This window comes from Homo sapiens, chromosome 18 (genome assembly GCF_000001405.40).
Source record: "Homo sapiens chromosome 18, GRCh38.p14 Primary Assembly".
Lineage (NCBI taxonomy): Eukaryota > Metazoa > Chordata > Mammalia > Primates > Hominidae > Homo > Homo sapiens.
In genome coordinates this window covers 77,151,409-77,167,870 of record NC_000018.10, presented here as the reverse complement: position 1 = coordinate 77,167,870, position 16,462 = coordinate 77,151,409, and the positions used below count along the sequence as shown (strand labels likewise).

The window sequence follows — 16,462 nt, the reverse complement described above, 5'->3', positions numbered from 1 at the left end:
CTTCACACCCACCTGGGCTGATCCTTGGGTGGGGAAGAGCGGTGGGACCAGCCAGACCTGCGGCACAGGCTCCCCGGGGACTGCCGTAACAGAGTCCACTACTGGCAATTCCATTTGAATCACTGGGCTGGGAGAAAGTGTTCCCCAAAGGAAAGGGGTGGGCAGAGTGGTGAGAGGCAGAAACAGAGCCCCCAGCAGCATCAGGCACAGACAGGCATGAAGCTGGAAAATGGTACAATGAGGTCAGGACATTCTAAAGGAGCGAAGCAGATTCTCTGCAGGTCTTTGGGAGGAAACAATGAAAAACTTTGCCTAACTATCACCCTGCAGGACTTCTGCCTCCCAAGGTTCACGGCTTAATTTGAAAGTGACTCAAACTCCGGTAGGTTGTTCATTTCATTCCCAAGAATAAAATCATAAACATCTGGGCAGAAAGCTTTCTGTGGTCCTAAAACTAAAATCATAAACATCTGTGGCAGAAAACTTCCTAAGGAACATTGCATGAATGCTTGGCCAAAATTGAGTTAATTCGATTCTTAACGTTTGAGTTAAAGTAGTTTTTTATTTCTTTATTTATAAATATCCCAGGAAATACTCAATGAATCTTTGAATTGTCTTTTTTCACTTCAGTAAGTGTTCCCAAGTGCCCGCTGATCTGATTAAGTCTGCAATTAAAATCCAGGTCCTACAGAGCAGCGCTTTTGTGATCACTAGCCCAGTAAAATCACAGGGAAGAGGATAAAATACAGTTTCATGTGTCCCGATATCCTTCATCCCTTCTCAACACAGACTTTAAGGTTTTTGCAGATAAATACGAAACATGCTTTGCCAACCTTCTACAAACACACCACCTGGCATCTCATCTAGTGCCTGGTGCCAGTGATGGGAATGGGAGTTGATTTTCAAAGCTGCACTCCCCGTCCTGCCAGTTAATCAGCTGGTGAGCAGGGCCTTGCTTTGGTGACAAAGGTCTGGAAGTGACGTCCACATCACTGACTCAGCCACGACCGCCAAGCCCCTCACAGCACCAGCGCCTCTCAATCAGCACCTCTAACACCTGTCCACTCAGGGGCACCATGCGGGGGACACCCAGGATGCCTTTCTTCCTCACCTGAGCAGGGGAAGGGGCATCACACTCCCCAGCTGCCCCCAGCAGCCCTCAGGCCTGGGACCTGCACCTTCCCGGGCTGCCCCCACACGCGCCCCCCTCCAAGCTCTGGATCCTACTACCCAAGGCTGCCCTGTAGCTTAGAACCTGGTGGTCTCCTCCCAGATGCCCGCTAATCTTCATCCTTGGCCTGGCACTCGGTTCTCAATCCTGTGACAGAGACGCCCCACCCTGCCCCTAACCTTGACTAAACTTCAGCCAAGCTTCTTCCTGACTCTCACCTCCACCTGCCTTTTCTTGGAGCATTTGCGTTAGAAAAACTTGTCATTGTAAATTCTTTCTCTGCCCCTTACAAGGGGCAGAGAAAGGAGATGTAAGCCTTTTGTGACATATCTTGCCAGTTGTAAGGCCCAGGGAGTGTCTTTCTCAGTGATCTGGAGGCCGGTCATTCCTTTGAAACATAATCACGGAGGAAGACAGTGGCCACGTCCGGTCTCTGTGGGAGGAAGGTGGGAGGCAGACCCTAACCTCAAGGCGCACTTCTCTCCAAGTCTCATTTCTCTTCAAGCCATGCGATTCCCTCCATCCCTCCTGTGATGAATGCAGGAGAAAGTTCGCTCTTCCTTCAGGGAGGGCCATTCAGGAAATACAGATGGCCTAGACCCAGACCCCAGCTCTTACAAACTCCACCCTCTCACCCTCGGTCCACAGAACTGAGCTCAGACAGCCTCTGCCTCTCTCGCCTACTGCAATCGCCTTCAAGAATAAAGTCTCCCCGCTGGCTTAACTCCGTCCAGCGCAGGCTTTGCTTTGACTCCCGATGAACTCATGCATCCCTCGGGGGCCTGGGACATCTGCACACTCTGGCCACACCCAGAATGATTTCATTTGATTCCCGGCATGGGAGCTCTGGAATGCTTATTTCAAGGCTCCTCTGCCACCTGGGGGGATGCTGAGGGCCAAGCAGCTCTGCCCTAAGCCCCTGCTCTCTGACCCCGCTTCACACGCCTGTCCCTGGTTCCCATCCTCCACGCCCACCATGAGCACCAGCTGCACTGCCAGGCTGGTCCTGACAGCACGCCCAGGCTTGCGGTCTCCACTCGGCTCCTAAACCAGACGCCCTCCCCTTCACCCCCTGATCTTCTGCCATCCGGTCCTTTGCCCTGGGATGCTCCTCCTGCTCTACCTCACCATCTCCTCGGGACCAGCCTTCCCCCAGCCTCATAGGGTGACCCACCATCCCAGGGGCCTGGTGACCCCTTCCTCGGGGTGTTGAGGACCCCTGTGGAGCCTCCAGCATCTGTGCTTTCCTGCATCCAGGCACAGTGAAGGCTGCAGGATATCTGCTCACTGTCTCCTCTGCTAGGTCCCCTTGAGGGCCAGAACCTCGCTGCACCAGTGGATGTCACCTGAGAAGTGGTCACAGTGTTCACTGGGCAGGTTAACTTATTCCACAAGTACTTGGACACGCAACCCTGAAGGAGGCGTGGTTCTGTCGGCCCCAGAATATGAGCTCGCGCAATCCTCACGGCATTCCTGTTGGGTACTCGCCATCGCCTTCCCATTTTACAGGTAAGGAAACAGGTGCAGAGAAGTGAGGCAAAAGCCAAAACCCCTCCCAGGTAGGAGGGGGTCAGATCCAACCCAGGCAGGGGGCCCCTGAAGAGTGAACTGCTGTGAGAATCAAGTTAAAGGACACACAAGAAGCCATTCAGACGTGACTGGAATGTAGACTGTGCCCAGCACCATGGTCCCCTCCCTTCTAGAAATTCACCACAGCCCTGGCAGCCTCCCAGCCTGAGAAGCGGGTGTCACCTCATCAGGAAGCTGCTGTCTGCTTTTCCGCCTCCCAGGAGCCCCACGTGCCCCTGTCTACTCATTTCCTTAGACATGGCGGTGGGCACACCGCGCTCTGCAGAGGGGCCTTCCTGCGTCCACACTGCATGAGTAAAACGCGGTGGGGTAGCGGGTCCAGGATCCTCCCCCAAGATGAGAAGAGCTGGCTACGCCTGGTTTATGGATAGTTTTATAAATTGTCACACACACACACCCTTCCCGCGCCATTCTATTTCCATTCTGCGGAAATCCTGGGTGGAAGGGAGCTTTATTCCCTTAAACTCTGTTTTAAAAATACTGACCAGAAAACCATCGATCCTCTTTCTGCCACCGTAAATGAGTTTGTGTTTTCTAGCACTTCACGCACCTGGCCTCGTGCAGCGAGAGCTCCTCTGGGCCTGGCTCCTGTCACTCAGCACGATGATTGTGAGTTTCCTTCCTGCGCTGCATAGGTGAGGAGCTCGTCTCTGCTCACTACTGAGCACCGTTCACCGTGTGGACACACAGAGCTGTGCATATTCCTTCACCTGTTGGGAGACATGTGGGTTGCTCCCTTTTGGAGATACTATGAATGTGGCTGTCATGAACATTCATGCCCAAGACAACAAAAACACCGACAACTCCAGCGAGGTCAAGCGCTGCACTTCCACAGACATCCCCACCGCTCCTCTGGTGCGTCCTTCCACCACTGCCCTGGAGCTGTTCCAAGGCTCCTCAGCCTCCCTGCCAACTGACTGACTGCCGGACACGTTCAACCCAGAGATCTTACAGTTCAAAATGCCGCGTTGTGGCCACTTGTTGACGGGCGCCTTCCACCAGACGGGGAAACAGCTTTACTGTGCAGCAGGTCCTCCCTGGGAAACGGGGAGTGAGATGAGGCTGCAGGTGAATGGGCTGAAACCTCCCCCAGCCCCTCCCGGCCTCACCTAGCCGTGTCCTGCTGCAGGAGGTGCCTGCGGAGTTGCTTCACCGGGTCTGGATGAGTTAACCTTGATGCCCTTCCTCCGGCAGAGAGGGACTTCTGTGCACAACACGCCAACCAGAGGAGCCCGTCTCATCAGAAAGGCGGGCTCTCCAGCACAGCTAGAGCAGGTGGGACAATGAGTGAGGCAAGAGGGGCTCAGGCAGCCCAGCTGACGGATTAACTGTGAGTGCGTGGGGTGGGAGCGGCCAGAGAGCGGAGGTGGGAAGCGAGGCTTGAGGAAGAGGGGCAGCCGGCAGCAGGGGCTGATGTCTCTGAGAAGAGAAGCCCATCCGTGAAAGGCCGAAACTTCAAATATTCAACTTGCATACCTGGGGATCCTTGTGTTCTTTTGCTAGCATTTGTTTTAAGTATGCAGGGCCCACTCCCACATTCTCTGAACCCTGCCTGTCCTGGACGCCAGGAGCTTTGGTCTCCATCACTGGGAGAGGTGAGTCACCCCATCTCTGTCTCCGTAGCCACTGACCCACGGACTTTTATCATTTTCCCCCAAGAATTCTGTGAAAGTGTCCCAATCATTTTTCTGCCTCCGGTCTCATCTTTCTCAAATGTTCCCTCAACAACGAGACCTCTTCTGAAACACAAACCACCACACTGCGTCCCCAGAGCCGAGATGGCACCACTGCACTCCAGCCTGGGCCACAGAGCAAGACTCTGTCTCAAAAAAAAAAAAAAAATAGATTACAGTGATGGAAATATATTAAAAATCACTGAATGAACTGTATACTTCAAAAGGTGGAATTTTATGGCATATAAATTAATCTCAGTAAAGCTAATTTTAAAATAGAATGATGCTATCTAGGTCCCTCAGGCTCCATTCTGATGCTTGAACAAATGCTTGTTGAGTCCCTAACAGTGTGTCCCAGTGGAGCATGACAGAAAGAGTTCTGGCTGGAAAGACTTTCAAACCAAGATCATCAGTCCCCCATCCAGAGGCAGGGAAAACCTCAGTGGAGCCTCAAGGAGCACCCTACTCCAGGCAACATGGTTTCTCCCTGTGCCCACCAAGAAGAGTAATCCCCAGAGAGATAAAGAAATGATTCACTTCATGAAAGTATTTACCTTTCACCCACAGTGTCTCCAGGAGGTCTGCCCGTGGCGTACGTGTGCTGTCTGCCCAGCACCACCAGTTCTGGGAGCAGCACGGCCTGTTTCCTGGAAGCTACATCCACGTGCATTGCATCCATACGACTCCTGTGTGCTTTGTTCCCAGGATTGGTTATGGGCTTGGGCCTGACTCAAGACTGCGTGACTGCAGGGCTCAGCCTGACTGTTACTAAAGTGTGCCCCATTCCCTGAACGTGTAGACTTGGGCAGTGAAGGAGGGGGAGCCCTCTCTCTTTTTGACTGTGGCTAGGCAATAAAAGTCTAGGAAGCTCTCAGCAGCCAGGGAGGAAGGCAGGCGCTGGAGCGATAGGGGCCAGTGGGGCCAGGATGAGGGAGAATTTCCTACAGCGCTGGTGTTCCAGTTCTGATGAGCCTCAGGCCCACAGGCATCATGGCCCCCCACGCAGCTACCCTGGCTTCTGTGGCAAAGGACGAAGATGAACCCTGGCATGATTTCATTGTTTTATTAAATTTCATTGTCTCCTTTTCACTTATCTTATTCAAGTTGGGTTTCTTTCACTTGCTAATAAAAGTCTGAGCAGATAGATTACTAAAAATGATTTTGTTTCACCGACTTTAACTCATTCCAGCATTATTTACTGAGGCACCGCTGTGTGCTAGGTGGCATTCCAGGTGCTGCGTATTTATCCAGGAGCCAGCCAGAAGCCCCACCCTGTGGAGTCTGTGTCTTCACCTACAGGAAATTGCTCATCCCGTCATGGATTCACAGACACTTACTGAATTCCTAATAAATAAACTCTTCATTCAGTAGCGTTAAATAAGTTTCTTGAAGCTAGACTGTTGATATTTTGAGAGATATTGTCCATACTCCTGGTCACCTCTGATTTAAGGGCATGCAGGACCTGAGCATTTTACCAACCTACTTAGTGCATTAGCCAGGGTTCTCTAGAGGGACAGAACTCATAGGATCTATGTATATATGAAAAGGGAGTTTATTAAGGGGAATTGACTTACATCAAGAGTGGTTTGCCAGGGGCTCTCGGGCCTTTGGCCACAGACTGAAGGCTGCGCTGTCGGCTTCCCGACTTTTGAGGTTTTGGGACTCCTCGGACTGAGCCACCACTGGCTTCCTTGCTCCTCGACTTGGAGGCAGACTTTCATGGGACTTCACCTTGTGATCCTGTGAGTCCGTTCTCCTTAATAAACTCCCTTTCATGTACACATATATCCTATTAGTTCTGAGGAAGAGTGGAAGTTGCACTTAACTGAGAACGTGTTTAGTCATTTCCCATTATGCAAAACACTGCGGGGATTTCTCCAGCCCTGCTATTATGTGGGAGAACAGGTCTCAGGTAAAAGTTCAAAATTATCGAAGTGAAGAAAGTAATTCACTAAAGGGTCTGATGATCAAGCTTGTCAGCTGCTAATAAGACAGCTGAGAAGAAGACTGAGCTGAATGTTGCACGTGGAAATGCCAAAGTCTTCACTGATGTCAATAAAAATAAAAAAAAATAAAAAAATAAAAATAAAAATAAAAAAAAATAAAAAAATAAAAAAAAAAAACTGGTTTTGATGCACAGGTGAGACTAATATCTCTAATTGTCAATTGTCCATAATTATTGATAAATTAGCTTTCCCTCCGCCTTTTAAAGTCTGGAGTTTGGGCTGCTATGCCATTCTTATCTAGTGCCAATATTTACAACACAAAGAAATTTAGCATGTTTTAAACAAATAACACTACTTATAAGTAGAATTCAAGTCTTTGTCTAATCCAATGTACAAAAAAAATTGTATTTATGTCCTGAGTTTCACAATTTTTCATCTTAAACTATTTCAGTTTCTCAATTTTTAATCACTTGTTCTGGCCACAGAACCAGCCAACAATTCACGCGCTGGACATGTTATTTGAATGTATGGTTTTCTGTTGTGTTTGGATGGGACTTACTTTCTATTATTAGTCTATTATTTCTAAGTGAAGGACATGCTAAAAATGCCTCCAAAACCCATCGTATAATTCATCCTCCTGGTGTCTTACTTTGTAGTCTTAGGATTAAAGGGAGATCATTCTGAAACATCGAAATTTGCATGTTAAAGGGGACTGCCTGAAAGGAGGAAGCGCTTTTCTCAGGAAACCATAATTACACAACAGAATAAGAAAGTGGTGATCGCAGTGGCCTGCGCCTAAACACCGCCTTCTTCAGGATCGTAAATTCCTAAGAATCCAGAGCCGAAAGAGACCCTGCAGATAGAAAATCAAGTTCAAGCCTGTCGTTTAAACGATGGGAACTTGATGCACACACACAAGGAAATTAACCGACTTTCATAGGTTAACTTTGCCCAGTGATGACTGAGAATACCTAAAATAAATGACTTTCCATGAGTCCTTGTATGAAGATTCTGGGTGACAGGGGAAATGAATTAGAAATGGGTAAATATACATGCACCCCAGTTACATAGCAGCAAAATCAGAGCTTGGAATTCCTGCCTCTTTCCTAATGCTGTGACTGACCTCCACTGCAATGCTGAGTTGCACTAATTAGTTCTCATCCAGATTCGCCGTCACGTTTTCTAAAGTCCCATTCCTAAATATACTCTTCTAGTCACCTCAGATGTGAAGATTTAAGAATAGACACTTTGTGTGAGCCGAGGTTGTGCCACTGCACTCCAGCCTGGGCGACAGAGCCAGACTCCATCTCAAAAAAACAAAAAAGAATAGACACTTTGTATGTCTTTATTAATCACAATTTGGGGAATATGCAACGCATATAGAATGAAGAGTATCCGCAAATGGTTAAATGCCACAAGTACACTTTAAAAATAAAATCAGAACCCGGGTCAGGCATGGTGGCTCATGCCTGTAATCCCAGCACTTTGAGAGGCCAAGGCAGGTGGATCACCTGAGGTCAGGAGTTTGAGACCAGCCTGACCAACACGGTGAAACCCCATCTCGACTAAAAAATACAAAAATTAGCAGGCGTGGTGGTGGGTGCCTGTAATCCCAGCTACTCGGGAGGCTGAGGCAGGAGAATCACTTGAACCCAGGAGGCGGAGGTTGCAGTGAGCCAAGATCATGCCATTGCACTCCAGCCTGGGCAACAGAGCAAGATTCTGCCTCAAAAAAAAAAAAAAAAAAATCAGAACACACTGGAGGACGTTAGTAAACCCAGCTGTCAGAAAATGTTTAAATATAGGGCAAGTAAGCAAAGTCCTCATCTATCAATCTCTGTTTTCAGACTCTTCATCTTAGTGCACTCTGGCTGCCAAAACAAAATAGCATAAACTGGACTGCATATAAATAGCATAAATAAATTTCTCACGATGTGAGAGGCTGGGAAGTCCAACACACCAGCGATTTCATGTTCCAGTTCATAAACAGCATCTTCCCACTGCATCCCCACATGGTGGAAGGTGCAGAGCAGCTCTCTGGGGCCTCTTTCATGAGGCCATTCATCCCATTCATGAGGGCTCCACCCTCCTGATCTAATCCCCTTCCAACCCATGTCCTACTACCATCCCTTTGAGGGTTAGGATTTTAACATGAATTTAGGGGCAATACAGGTATTTGGACCATAGCAGATATTTACTACAATAATAGCCTTTTAACCACATCTTCATATAACACAATAGATCAAATGATCAAAAAATTAGTGTTATTCATATAAAAATATACATACATTCTAATCATGAATAAGCAAAAAAAAAAAAAAAAAAAAAGCTGAAATTCTGTCATAAAACAACAGGAATGTATTCCCCCACAGTTCTGGAGGCCCGAGGTCTGAGGTCAGGTGTAAGGGCCGCCTTCCCTCTGAAGGCTCTGAGGGAGGACCTGTCCTTCCTCCCCAGCTCCAGGCAGTACCTGCGTTCCTTCGTTAGTGACAGCCTCGCTCCCACCTCTGCCTCTGTCAGCGCGTGGTGTCCTAAGCTATGTGTGTGTATGTGCCACATTTCCCCCTTTGTGTGAAGACACCAGCCATTGCCTTGGGGCCCATCCAAATCCAGGATGACCTCATCTTGGTTAATTACACCTATTTCCAAATAAGGTAACATTCAGAGGTTCCAGGTGAACATGGATTTTTGGAGGCCACCTTTCAGCCCAGCACATGAACATTCTACAAAATAACTGGCCAGTAGCCCTCAAAAACCTGAAGATCTTAAAAAAGAAAGATTCAGACACTGTCACAAATAAGAACAGGGGTCCCCAATCCCTGGTCCGTGGCCTGTTAGAAATCAGGCCACACAGCAAGAGTTGAGTGGCAGGCCAAGGAGCATTACCACCTGAGCTCTGCCTCCCATCAGATCAGTGGCAGCATTCGATTCTCATAGGAGGCCAGACCCTATTGTGAGGGACCTAGGTCATGCACTCCTTATGAGAACCTAATGCCTGATGATCTGAGGTGGAACAGTTTCATCCTGGAAACATCCCCCAGACCCCCATCCATGGAAAAATTGTCTTCCACAAAACCTGTCCCTGGTGCCAAAATGGTTGGGGACCACTGGATTAGAAGACAGAAAAAGACAAGGCAACTCATTCACCTAATCCTAAGCCGGATGTTGCCCCAGAAAAGGCCATTAGTAGGACAACTGAAGGGATCTGAGTAAGGTCTGTGGAGGGCTTCATAGCAGGTGCCAAAGTGAGTTCCTTGGTTTCCATGTTGTACAACAGTTAGGTATGTCCTTCATATTAGAAAGCTGGGTCACCAGTATACCAGAAATCTCTGTACTATTTTCACAGCTTTTCTGTATGTCCAAAATATATTTTAAACAAAATGTTTAAACATTAGTATGACTAAAGAAGATGGACACTGCACAGCTAAGACGTTTTAATGTAATAGAATGTAAAGAACCTTGCATTCCACAATTTGAAAGCACACATTCTTTCCCTGCACACTAAGAACGGTTATAAAAACCACCTGCAAAGCAGACCACAAAGCAATTCTCAACAAATACCCAAGAATTGGGATCAAATGAAGCACATCCACCATGAGGCTATAAAATTAGAAAATTATGACAAAAAGATAACTACAGCCTGCCCTATGTACATGTGGACATCACACATATAAACACATACTTTTACACACACACAAAATCAGGGCCAAAGAAAAAGCCAAAAAGAAAATGATTATTTTAAGTGAGCAGAAATGAAATCCATGTGGGATAATGCAAGGATGGAAAGAGACTCGTAGTCATCAATACATATGTCAGGAAAAAAGATGGGCACTGAGCTTCAAAAGAAGAAGCTAAGTGAGCAATCAGTAAAATTAGTAATGAATAAAGAAGCCCCAGAGAACAAGGGAGACAGAAGCTACAGTGTTCACTGCAGCAGACTCTTTAGCATTCAAAAGTGGAAAAACCCTGACTGTCCATAGCAGAGGAAGACAGACGCTAGGGTTTATCCACGTAATAGCATACACGACAGCTGTCATGATGGGTGAGCTGGAGCTACCTGTGCATAGCAGCTACATCTCAAAAGCAAAATGTGAAACAAAAAGCAAGTGACATAAAGGCACATATAGGCTAATGCAATTTATGTGTTTTAAACACACAGAATACCTGGAAAGCACAAAGTATGGGATATTTTTAGAAGCAAACAAGTATCATACAAGTGCAAAAGCTTGCCTGATCATGGTACTCACTTACTTCAGAAGAGTGATTATTTCTCAGAGGAGAGAATGAGAGCAGGAATTAATGAGCTTCAGCTTTTTCAGTGTTGCTATTTATTAAAAAAAGAAAGGAAGGAAAGAAAGGAAGGAAGGAAGGAAGAAAGAGAGAGAAAGAAAGAAAGAAAGAAAGAGAAAAGAAAGAAGGAAAGAAAGAAAGAAAGAAAGAAAGAAAGAAAGAAAGAAAGAAAGAAAGAAAAGAAAGAAAAGAATACAGACCTGAGGCAAATACACCAAACTCTCACATCCATTTCATCTTAGTGGGGGACACATAGATGTCTTATATTATTTTGTCTACATTGCTGTATGTTCAAAATATTTCATAATTAAAACAAAGAAAACTACTAGGTCCATCTTTATAATTATCATCTTAAACCTCTTTCAGTTATCAAAGCATTATTTTATATATCTAAGAATGGGACATGGATTTGTATAGGTTGGCTACGAGTCAAATTACTAGAATCAAATTGAAGCTTGCTGTGACTTGAACAATGGTTAAGCCTGTTTACCTGGGGAGGCAAAGTTAGGCAGCCTGATGTTATACCCAATCAACCATCACCTCCTATTGAACACCTCCGAAAAAAAAATCCAAAACCAGCCTCTTCGCTTCATCCCACCATCACTGTCCTTGGCTGCACGCCTCAGCCCCCAGCCGGCAACGCCATGCAAATGACATGAAGCGGAAACATGAGCCGGCAATACCAAGCAAAATGTCAACCTGCTGCCCGGTCGTTTCCACTTTTTAATACTATATTAGTCCATTCTTGTACTGCTATAAAAAAATGTCTGAGGCTGGGTAATTTGTAAGGAAAAGAGGTGTTTTTGTTGTTTTTGTTTTGTTTGTTTTTTGCTTTTTTGAGATGCTCTTGTCGCCCAGGCTGGAGTGCAATAGTGCAATCTCGGCTCAATGCAACCTCCATCTCCCAGGTTCAAGTGATTTTCCTGCTTCAGCCTCCCGAGTAGCTGGATTACGAGTGCCCGACACCACGCCCAACTAATTTTTGTATTTTTAGTAGAGATGGGGCTTCACCATGTTGACCAGGCTGGTCTCAAACTCCTGACCTCAGGTGATCTGCCCACCTTGGCCTCCCAAAGTGCTGGGATTACAGGCGTGAGCCACCACGCTTGGCCGGAAAAGAGGTTTAATTGGCTCACGGTTCCGCAGGCTGTACAGGAAGCATGGCAGCTGCTGCTTCTGGGGAGGCCTCAGGAAGCTTTGAGTCATGGCGAAGGCAAAGCGGAGCAAACGTCTCACATGGTGTCTCACGTGGCAGGAGCAGCAACGAGACAGGCAGGAGGTGCACCCTGTATACCTTTTAAAAACGGATCTCAGGGCAATTCACTCACTCACTGTCACCAAGGGGACAGCACAGAGGGGATGATGACAACCCATTCGTGAGAATCCCACCCCCATGATCCAGTCACCTCCCACTAGACCCCACTCCCACGCTGGGGATTACAGGAGGCCCCACCTCCCACACTGGGGATTACAGGTGACATGAGATTTGGTGGAGACCGCAGATCCAAACCAAGTCAAATATCACAACTGCCTGCAGCTTCATGCGCTGTCAGCTGCTTGCCATCAGGCAGCCAGGGAAGCTTCACCAAACACGGGACAGGAATTCTCTCAGGGTGGATCCCAAACTCCAGGCCATTCCCAGCTTTCTTTCCTTCTAAGGTCTTATTTGTTCCTGTAAGCTGTCTTGTTTTCTGATTTTGTATTTCTGTCTTGTTTTGTTTGGCTTGAGCTAGCCAGAGCCAGTTTTTCATGCTTGTGGCTGGTACCTGTTTCCTGGGGGCTGCCATTATAAAGTACCGCAACCGGGACTGAAAACAACAGAAATGTATCATGCCACCATCCAGGAGATCAAAAGTCAGAGACCAAAGTGTCGCAGGGTTGGCCCCTTCTTGCGGGCTGTGAGCGAGAATCCGTTCCCTGCCTCCCCGGCCTCAGTGTCTCCCGGCAGTCGCCGGTGCTCCTTGGCTTGCGGCTGCACCGCTCCCGTCTCCGCCCCGTCACAGGACACTCTCTCTCTGTGTCTCTGTGTCCAAATTCCTCTCTTCTTACAAGGACACCCATTCATGCCTTAGGACTTGCCCAGTCCAGCATGGCATCATCTCAACTTGATTATAGCTGCGAAGAAAGACCCAGCCTCCAAATCAGGTCGAGTTCACAGTGCACTAGAAATTGGGACACGCACATACCCTTTGGGAAGACGCTATTCAACCTGCGACGTTGCCCAAATGACCTCAACTAATAATAAATAAAATTTATTCTATTTAATGTGTAAATAAAGTTTACAACAGAGCCTGTTGCTCTTGCCTTAAAGAGCACTCCTGAACTCTTCAAAGCCCCTCGTGGCCCTGGGACAGGGGGCCAGCCCCTTCCCTGTTCCTTCTCACCCCGTACCACCCCATCTCACAGCACCCACTTCCTCTGCCCGAGACACTCGTGTCTCTGCCAAGCCCACTTCTGCGCAGTGGAGAGTACCTGCTGATCTTTTGCATGACTGCTAATTCAGCAGAATACTTTAACAGATACAATCGCTTATATGCACAAAAGGGCATGGCCACTCCCCATTGTCATCCTGGGGAGTTGTCGCCATTGACTCGTGAAGTTACATGCTGAAGATATTGCTCAACACATGTCAATGCTCCTCTTTGGGAATTGTCTTCAAACACAGCTAAAGATGAAGCCATATTCTTTTTAGTTCAAAACAACATCAACATCTCATCTGTTCTGCTTGTTTCTCAAAAGATGGATATTCACCACTATCCGCGACAGTCATGAGATCAGACACCACAACTGAAAAATTTGAATATTTGAGAAAAGAGTAAGATCTCCCACAAGCAATGTGAAAAGACAAACTGAGAACCATCCTGTTCAACTCATGCCACAAATGGCCAACTTCCCTAATCCATAGAAAAATTTACAAAGCATTAAGAAGAACAACAGACTCAAGCAGAAATGGTTAAAGGCAGTGAACAGAAAGTTCACATGGAAAGAACTAATAGTGTGAAAAGAAGCTCAACCTCACTCATTATGAAAACTGTACCAAGATAACTTATCACCTCTCAGATCAGCAAGTCTGAAAAATTTGACAACACACAGTGGGACAGATTCTTAGGAGGGCAATTTGGCATTAATTATCAATATAATATGTATAACCTTTGACCCAGCAACTACCTCTACAAATACATTTACATGTGTGTTAAGTGATGTGGTGTGAGGTATTTCTTTACATCATTATTTGTTATAAACATCAGAAATAACCTAAATATCTCTCACTAATTCAGATATTTAGTATCCGAGTATTTATTTACTCTGGGTAAATAAATTATATCACATTCATAAAATAAAATTCTATACAAATGTTTAGAAGTGAGTATGTTTCCTACCTTAGTCCCATCAGGTTGCTACAACAAAATACCATAAGCTGGGCGGCTTTTCACCACAGAAATTTATTTCTAACAATGTTGGAGCCTGGGAAGTCTCAGATCAGTGTCTGGTAAAGACCTGCTTTCTGGTACCTAAATGGCGCCTTCTTGCTGTGTTTTCACATGGTGGGAGGGGAGAGCCAGCCCTCCGGGGCTTCCTCCATAAGGGCACGAATCCCATTTGCAATGGCTCCACCCCCATGGCCTAATCGCCTCTCAAAGGAGATCCCTGGGGATTCAAATGGAAACGTATGTATTTGGAGGGGATGCAAACACTCAGACCATAGCATTCCTCAAGTACTAATATGTTATTAAGTGTAAAAAAATGTGGAATAGCTTACAAACTTCATGTATATAAATTTTATATCATGTAGTGCCTTAAGGGTTGAGAAAGGGGAAAGTGCCTATGTATAGGTCTGTGTTTTAGCTACATATTTGCTTCTCTATGCATAATGTATTTCTGGAAGGATACACATAATGTATTTCTGGAAGGAACTGATGATACATTTGTTATGTCTGCACACAGAAGATGAGAGATCGGGCTTGAGATCTGAGAGCCCAGGGCACGGAGCAAGCTCTTGGCCTGCACACACTCAGCCAGCACTGTTTTCTGGGGTGTTCTAGAACCCAGGCGGCAGTGTAGGCAGGCTTTCCAAATGATGAGTTATAAAAAATGGTTTAGATAGTTTCACAACTTTTTGAATATGTACATGATCTCCACAGGTAGCTAAAGGTAATATCGATAATTTTTACATTTTTTTTCATATTCAGTTACTTTAATCTCCCCCTGTATAAACACATAAATCATTGACAGGGGAAAAGTCTTACTTAGTTCCTCCACTGTTTATTAGACTCCCCACTGTCAATGAAATAAATGACTAAGATACTATCTTCCAGGTTATTTCTCATAACGACAGGATGAAACTCAAAAGGATTTTAAAAACATAACTAACCACAAAACATTCCCCATGCTTTCACATTACTCTCAAATATTCGGAATATTTTATGATATACGACTTTTTGCGTGATTCCAGCTTTTTATGATTTCTCTATGTATATTCCAAATTCTGTTACTGTAGGCAAACATTCTTTCAAATCCTTTTCAAAATATAAAATTACTAAATTAAGGCGCAATAAAATATATTCATTCAGCCAACAAATATTTATTAATGCCTGCTACACAAAATTAAGGCTCTCTTAGACCTACTCTATTAAAATAAAAATGAAGAAAGAGAAGTATAAATAAATTTAAAAGATTAATAAGAAATTCTAAATAATACTGTAACCTCGTAGTGGGCCTGGTTAGAAAAAAACACTTCCCCGTCCTTCCTTTGTTAAACACTCCCTATCCCGTGCGGAACTGCTCTCCAGGCCATTTCTGACTTGTGAAGGATGGCGGCGAAGGAAGAATCAGAAGCATGCAAATTACATGCAAATTAGCTCCAGTGCCGCTGGGTTCCTGAACACATCGAGAGGTAATACATACAAACATATTCTGTGGCAGAGCTGGACCCCACGGGCACTGAATATTTCTAGACAGTTTGTGTCTGGTTTCCCTCACTCTGAGTCAGGCATCAGTTCCTTCCCTCGCCAAGACACCTGAATCTCTCTCATCTGCGCTTCTCTTCTCTCTGCAGAGCGGCTTTCTCTGCCGGTTCTTAATTTCTACTTTCACTGGGGGTGGCTCCAGTGTGGTGCTACCTCCATACAGCACCCTTCATCACCAGAGCCCTTCATCATGCGACTGCCGTCAAAGGGGAGAGACAAAGGGAACGCAGCTCCACCTAGACGTTGGGTGCCCTACACCTGGGTCAGTGCCCCGCCTCTCCCACCTTCTGGCTAAGGTCAGCAAGCTCAGACACCGCTATATTCCAGGTGTGATGGATGGTGAGGCAGGTGAGAAGGGAACTCAAGCATCGCATGCAAATCAACCGACATCTGCTGCAAGACCCAAGGTACCCGAGGGGATTATTCCAGAAGTTGGTTTTTGCTTCAATAGTTTTATGTAAGTATTTAAAATGTATTGCATACTTTCTTGCAAATACGATCTCGTCATACTCGCCCACTTACGACTTTACAACTTTTTAATGGCTCGCCCTTGTCCTCAGTGTAAATCTCAGAGTTCTCAGCCTTAAGCATCTTCCCTCTCCTAACCTCTGCTCTCCTAATCTCTCCCCTCCTAACCTCTCACAGACTATCTTATTTCATAATCCTCCTCTCCTCACTAAACATTCTCCCTTACTTCCGGACCTTTGCACGTCCTGTAATTATTCTTGGAATTATTCGCACTTTATGCTATATAAATGAAACTGAAACCTTTGTTTTTAGATTTTGAAAAACATTTGCAATCAGGTCTGTTCCAGATAAAAGTGT

At 46.0% G+C, this 16,462-nt stretch overlaps 2 annotated features.

The window, feature by feature from the left end:
• Nucleotides 6,858-7,428: an enhancer, noted in NCBI's record as "NANOG hESC enhancer chr18:74872399-74872969 (GRCh37/hg19 assembly coordinates)". NCBI's record gives its function as "activates a minimal SCP1, AML or CMV promoter by ChIP-STARR-seq in primed H9 embryonic stem cells {active_cell/tissue: H9 hESC(primed)}" and the evidence as "EXISTENCE:reporter gene assay evidence [ECO:0000049][PMID:30033119]".
• Nucleotides 9,065-9,565: an enhancer, noted in NCBI's record as "H3K27ac hESC enhancer chr18:74870262-74870762 (GRCh37/hg19 assembly coordinates)". NCBI's record gives its function as "activates a minimal SCP1, AML or CMV promoter by ChIP-STARR-seq in naive H9 embryonic stem cells {active_cell/tissue: H9 hESC(naive)}" and the evidence as "EXISTENCE:reporter gene assay evidence [ECO:0000049][PMID:30033119]".